Genomic DNA, 6597 nt, shown 5'->3' with positions numbered 1-6597 from the left:
TGAGTTTGCCATAGGGGCGGGACTTCCTCCCCAGCGCGCACGAGTACGTGCGTGGAGGTCCCGCCCCGGAACTGCAGTTGCTGCTGCAGCTGAGGTACAGCGGCGGTTTCTGAGGTTCTTCACTCGCGACTGACGGAGCTGCGGTGGCGTCTCCACACGGTGAGTACCAAAACGAGCGGGGTTGGAGCCGACTCTGGAGAGGGGCTGAGGCCAGGAACCCGGGTTCCTATCGCGGGTCGCTCTGGGCCGGTGGGTTCCCGGGTCCAGAGAGGGCGGCCGCCGGCCCAAGCCGTCCAACCGAGCTGCGTGCCACGGTCCCCGCGCCTTGGGCTCCTTGTCCGGTCATCAGAGCCTGACGGCCTTGGCTTCTCGGCTTCTCGGTTTCTCGGTTTCGTGCGCGCGTTCGTGCCTGAGACAAAGCGAGAGGGCCGCGCGGGACCGGCGTCACGAGGAGACAGAGGCCCTTCTACTCTGCCTGGCGCTCTCCGTGTCCTCGCCCGGTTCGCGTGGCACCCCTCGCCCTCTCCTTGTTGAACCCCGCGTGTTTCTTTGTGTTTTTTTTTGTTTGTTTTTTGTTTTTTTGCCGTGGCGCAGCGGGTCCGGCGGGCACTGTGTGCGAACGTGCTCTCCTCGCCGGGCGCCATGCTCAGCGGTTTTTTTTGACGTGCGTCACTTTTTCGTAGTGGCGTATAAGGATTCTGTGGGACAGATGTCCTCGTTTTTCCCATTGTGCAGACTGGGAAATAAGAGACTCAGAGATTAATACGTCCACCGCAGAGCCACAGCTGACAAGTGGTGGATCTGGATTTGAACCAAAGTTTACCTTGGTCTTTTTCACGGAATCTGTTATCTTTCTTGGCCTTTCTGAAAAGGAAAAACCTGGATCGAGTTCCACCCAAACGAGTTGGGCCTAAATGGCCATTAAGCCACTTAAAATATGATGAAGAAACTGGATGGGTTTTAAGACGCTTGGCAAAGGAAAGGATGGTGGAGCAGGCATTTGCTCTCTCAGGCAAGGCTTGAGAAGGAAGCAAGCGCAGTACGCTTTTAATAAAGCTCACCCCTCCTGCCCCCACAAGAAAAACCCCTGAGATTCTTACTCTGCCTTCAGAACGACTTAGGTGTGGCAGGTTTCATCCTCCGTGCTTTACATAATTTTCTTTATTTACATAAAATGTACAACTTAGATATTGTTAGGTACCCTCCCCCCTTTTTATAGATGAGAGCACTGAAGTTCAGAGAGGAGTGGGTGGCACTATCCAAGGTCACACAGGCAGTAAGTGTTGGATTTGGAATTCAAACCAGGTCTAGCTCATATGTCTTTGTTCCATCACATGTGTACCCTGTGTTCCAGGCAAAGCTGTCTGTTCTGTGGTATTCTTTGTTCTTCTCTAGGTGGGAGCAACTGTGTGATAGCCATCTTTGTATCCTCAGTTCTTTGTAGGGCCTAGTTGCTTAGAAAATATTTGTTACATCAGAACCCTCTGCTTCTCAGACACCAACCTAATAGAACATGTATCTCCTTTTCAGCAACCATGAAGTTGAAGGACACAAAATCAAGGCCAAAGCAGTCAAGCTGTGGCAAATTTCAGACAAAGGGAATCAAAGTTGTGGGAAAATGGAAGGAAGTGAAGATTGACCCAAATATGTTTGCAGATGGACAGATGGATGACTTGGTGTGCTTTGAGGAATTGACAGATTACCAGTTGGTCTCCCCTGCCAAGAATCCCTCCAGTCTCTTCTCAAAGGAAGCACCCAAGAGAAAGGCACAAGCTGTTTCAGAAGAAGAGGAGGAGGAGGAGGGAAAGTCTAGCTCACCAAAGAAAAAGATCAAGTTGAAGAAAAGTAAAAATGTAGCAACTGAAGGAACCAGTACCCAGAAAGAATTTGAAGTGAAAGATCCTGAGCTGGAGGCCCAGGGAGATGACATGGTTTGTGATGATCCGGAGGCTGGGGAGATGACATCAGAAAACCTGGTCCAAACTGCTCCAAAAAAGAAGAAAAATAAAGGGAAAAAAGGGTTGGAGCCTTCTCAGAGCACTGCTGCCAAGGTGCCCAAAAAAGCGAAGACATGGATTCCTGAAGTTCATGATCAGAAAGCAGATGTGTCAGCTTGGAAGGACCTGTTTGTTCCCAGGCCGGTTCTCCGAGCACTCAGCTTTCTAGGCTTCTCTGCACCCACACCAATCCAAGCCCTGACCTTGGCACCTGCCATCCGTGACAAACTGGACATCCTTGGGGCTGCTGAGACAGGTAAGGGCAACTCTGGCCAAAGCAGGATTGCTTCTGGATTGAGCCCATAGCTGCTAATAGGCCAGATAATTGGGAGAGAGAAGAATGTTGAAGAACATAACCACAAAAGCAACGCTGAATAAAGGTGTTTAGAAGTCAGCCCCTCTGGTTTGAAATATGCTCTTCTTGAATGGTATCCTAGCCAGATCACTTTTATCTCTCTCAGCTCTGTAGACCCCATTATCAACCAAATGGAGATAACAGTTTCTACCTCTTGCATTGCTGTGAGGGTTAAATGCCACAGTAAACTAAAGCTTACACTGTACATTGGAAGTGGTCTGCAAATCGTAGTTTCTGCTGTTCTTGAGCCTTTTCTAAATAGCTCAAAGGGGTAAGGCAAGGCTAAGATCAGCCCTTTGGAGAGGTAGATCTTCATGAGTATAGGGAAGAACTGTCTAATTCTCAGGAGTTGTGCAAAGGTGAAAAGGGTTGCTGCTTTGGGAGTTGATGAGTTTCTTGTCATTGGAAGGATTTGAGTGTGGTGGGTAGTCATTGGGTGGATTTTGTAAACAGATTCAGCTATGAAGTGTTAGGACTATGCTGTGTTTGAGGTTCCTGCGAGACTTTTGGAAGCAATGACAGGTTGACTTTGCTGGATAGACTAGACTGCTGACTTGGGGGAGGAACTAGTACTGCCTGGAACTATTGGTCTGTTTAGACCAGCAGTGTCCATTAGAAATACATATAGTCATCTCTTGATATCCATGGAGGATTGGTTCCAGGACCTCCCTTGGATACCAAAATCCAGGGATGCTCAAGTCTCTGATATAAAATGGTGTAGTGCTTACATATAACCTATATAGGCACATCCTCCTGTATATTTTAAATCATCTCTCGATTACTTATAATATCTCATACAACATAGGTCTTATGTAAATTGTTACACCGTATTGTTTAGGGAATAATGACAAGAAAAGTCTGTACAGTGTTTAGTACAGATACAGTTTTTTTTTTTTTACCCCCCCGAATATTGTCGATCCACAGATGCAGAACCCACGGTTACAGAAGGGTGACTGTATAATGTGAAACACATAAGTAATTTAAAATTTACTAGGAGTCACATTTTTTAAAAGTTAAAAACTAGTGAGATATTTTATGTTCTTTTTTTTTTTTTTACTAAATTTTCAAAATCTGGTGTGTTTTAAACTTGCAGCACATGTCATTTTAGAGTAACTACATTTTAAGTGTTCAGTAGACACGTGCTTTGGGTTTCTGGAACAGTGGTCAGGAAACTCAGGATGATGTTCTGTGGCAGTCATATAGATGGAAGAGTGAGGAACTACAGGAAAGGGGAATGGAGATAATAACTTAGAACATTTACTGAGCATTTAAGATGTGTCATGCACTGTGTTAAGTGCTTTATGTTGATGAAATCGGTTGTCACAACCACCCTGGGGTAAGTACCATTATTCCCATGTTACAGATGAGAAAACTCAGCCTCACAGAGCATAGACAGCTTCCCTAAAATTACACAACTGAAATGGTAGTGTATGGATTCCAGGCTAGTTCTGTGTGTTGTTAAGCATTCTGCTACACTGCTTTGGTATGTGCAGCAGAGTCCTGGAAGTAAGTCCGTGGAAGGCAGAAACAAGGTTTATATGAGCCGTTGTGGCCAGAGATTGACATTTGGATGTATACCACAGTTCCTGTCAGGTTGTGAATCTACAAGTCCAGAATTCAAAACGACTTGGATAAGTCATCCATCTGGGGCTGTGAACAGACCACTGCCCATGCAATAATAAATAGACCCTTAATGTGGGGATTAGGGGCATTGGTCCCCTGTGCAGTCGAAAATCCATGTATAATTTTGAACTCCCCCCAAACTTAAACGCTAATAGCCTATTATTGGCTGGATGCCTTACAGATAACATAAGCAGTCTATTAGCACATATTTTGTATTATATACTTTATTCTTACAGTAACATAAGCTAGAGAAAAAATGTTATTAAGAAAATTGTAAGGAACAGAAAATATATTTACTATTCATTAAATGGAAGTGGATCATCATAAATGTGTTCATCTTCATCTTGACTTTCAGTAGGCTGAGTAGAAAGAGGAGGGGTTGGTCTTGCTGTCTCAGGGTGGCTGAGGTGGAAGAAATTCTGTGTATAAGTGGACCCCTACCTTCAAATTTGTGTTAAAGGGTCAACTGTATATCCATTACCCCCAAAAAGATACCCTGGGTTTTTTTTGTTGTCCCTCCCTCCCTCCCTCAGTTCTTGTTCCTCCTCAGGCAACCACTGATAGGCTTTCTATCACTATAGATTAATTTGCATTTTCTTGCTTTCTTTTTTTTTTTTTTTTTGAGACGGAGTCTCGCTCTGTCACCCAGGCTGGAGTGCAGTGGCCCAATCTCGGCTCACTGCAACCTCCGCCTCCTGGGTTCAAGTGATTCTCCTGCCTCAGCTTCCCGAATAGCTGGGATTACAGGCACTTGCCACCACATCTGGCTAATTTTTGTATTTTTAGCAGAGACGGGGTTTCACTATGTTGGTCAGGCTGGTCGCAAACTCCTGCCCTCATGACCTGCCTGCTTCGGCCTCCCAAAGTGCTGGGATTACAGGTGTGAGCCACTGTCCCCGGCCTAATTTGCGTTTTCTAGAATTTTATATAATGAAATCATATAATATGTACTGGAGGGGGTGGTATCTGAGTCTTTGACTCAGCATAATTTGAGATTACGCCATGTTATTACAATTACTAGCAGTTCATTCCTTTTTAGTGATGAATAGTATTCCAATGTGTGGGTAGAGCAGTTTGTTCATCTATTGATGGACATTTGTGCTTTTTCTTGTTTTTGGCTATTACAAATATAGTTATTGTAAATACTATTGTACCAGTCTTTGTATGGATATGTGCTTTAATTTCTATTGGATAAATACCTAGGTGTGGAATGGCTAGGTCTTGTGGTAAATGTAACTTTTAAAGAGTTTTCCAAAGTGATTATACCATTTTACGTTGTCACTAGGTGGTATGAGTTCAAGTTGGTCCATATTCTTGTCAATAACTAGGTATGCTCAGTCTTTAATTTTATTTTAGACTTTTAAAATTTTACTATTATTTCCTTGTCATTTGAATTTGCATTTCCCTAGTGACTAGCAATGTAGAGCATTTTAGCATATGCTTATTTGTCTGTTTGATTATTTTGCCCATTTTTAAAATAGGGATGTTCTGTTGTAGAGTTTTGGGAGTTCATTGTGTATTCTAGATACATGTCCTTTATCAGATGTGAGATTTGCAAATTTTTCTCCCAGTTTGTGGCTTATCTTTTCGTTCTCTTAACAGTGTTTTTCAAAGAGCAGAAAGTCTTTATTTTGATGAAATCCAAATTAGCCTTGTCTTTTATGAATTTATGCTTTTGGTGCCGTTGGTGTTTTATCTAAGAACCTTTTGCCTAATTCAAGATCACAAAGATTTCTCCTGTGTTTTGTTCTAGAAGTGTTAATAGTCTTAGGTTTTATGTTTTGGTCTCTGATCCTTATTGAGTTAACTTTTATTTAGAGTGAGAAGTATGGATCAAAGTTTGTGGGTTTTTCTGCATATGGCTAATTATTTCAGCACCATTTGTAGAAAAACTATTCTTTCTCCACTGAGTTGACTTTGCATCTTTGTTGAAAGTCTGTGACCATATAGGTGTGGGTCTTTCTCTGGAGTCTTTTTGTTTTCCATTGATCTGTTTGTCTAGTCTTTATGTCAGTTTCTTATTCTCTTGGTTATAATAGCTTTATAATAAGTCTTAAAATCAGGTAGTATGAGTCCTCTAACTTTGTTCTTTTTAAAAGTTATTTTGACTGTTGTAGGCCTTTGCCCTTCCATATGGATTTTAGAATCCGTTATATCAGTTTCTACAAAAAAAGTAAGCTGATATCTGGATTGGGATTCTGTTGATTACAGAGCAAATTGAGGATAGATGACGTCTTAACAATATTTAATTTTCCAGTCTATGAATATGGTATCTCTCCATTTCTTTAGATCTTTAACTTTTCTTAGCAATGTTTTAAAATTTTCAGTATATAGATTTTTCACATCTTATGTTAGATTTATCCTTAAGCATTTTATATTTTTGATTCTATTGTAAATGGTAATTTAAAATTTTTTATTTCCGATTGTTTGTCGCCAATAAGTAGAAATATGATGGATTTTTGTATATTGATCTTGTGTCCTGCAACTTAGTTCCACCAAGTAGTTTTCTGAGGATTCCATGGTATTTTCTGCAAAGATGATCATTATCCAGTCTTGGATGCCTTTTGTTTTTCTTGTTGTATTGCAGTGGCTAACACCTTTAGCAGAATTTTGAATTGTAGT

At 42.1% G+C, this 6597-nt stretch overlaps 1 protein-coding gene across 1 annotated transcript in view; it reads left to right on the top strand.

Annotated features, from left to right (window-relative positions):
- Positions 1 to 75: 75 nt before the first annotated feature.
- DDX24 (DEAD-box helicase 24) overlaps positions 76 to 6597 on the top strand; it is a 32916-nt gene continuing 26394 nt past the window's right edge. The window contains exons 1-2 of the mRNA NM_020414.4: positions 76 to 159; positions 1531 to 2253. Coding sequence (NP_065147.1) covers positions 1536 to 2253 — 718 coding nt within the window. The 5' untranslated portion in view covers positions 76 to 159; positions 1531 to 1535. The remainder of the gene's footprint in view (positions 160 to 1530; positions 2254 to 6597) is intronic.

The sequence above is a fragment of the Homo sapiens genome, chromosome 14 (genome assembly GCF_000001405.40).
Source record: "Homo sapiens chromosome 14, GRCh38.p14 Primary Assembly".
NCBI classification, from domain to species: domain Eukaryota; kingdom Metazoa; phylum Chordata; class Mammalia; order Primates; family Hominidae; genus Homo; species Homo sapiens.
This window is presented reverse-complemented; position numbering and strand designations above follow the sequence as displayed.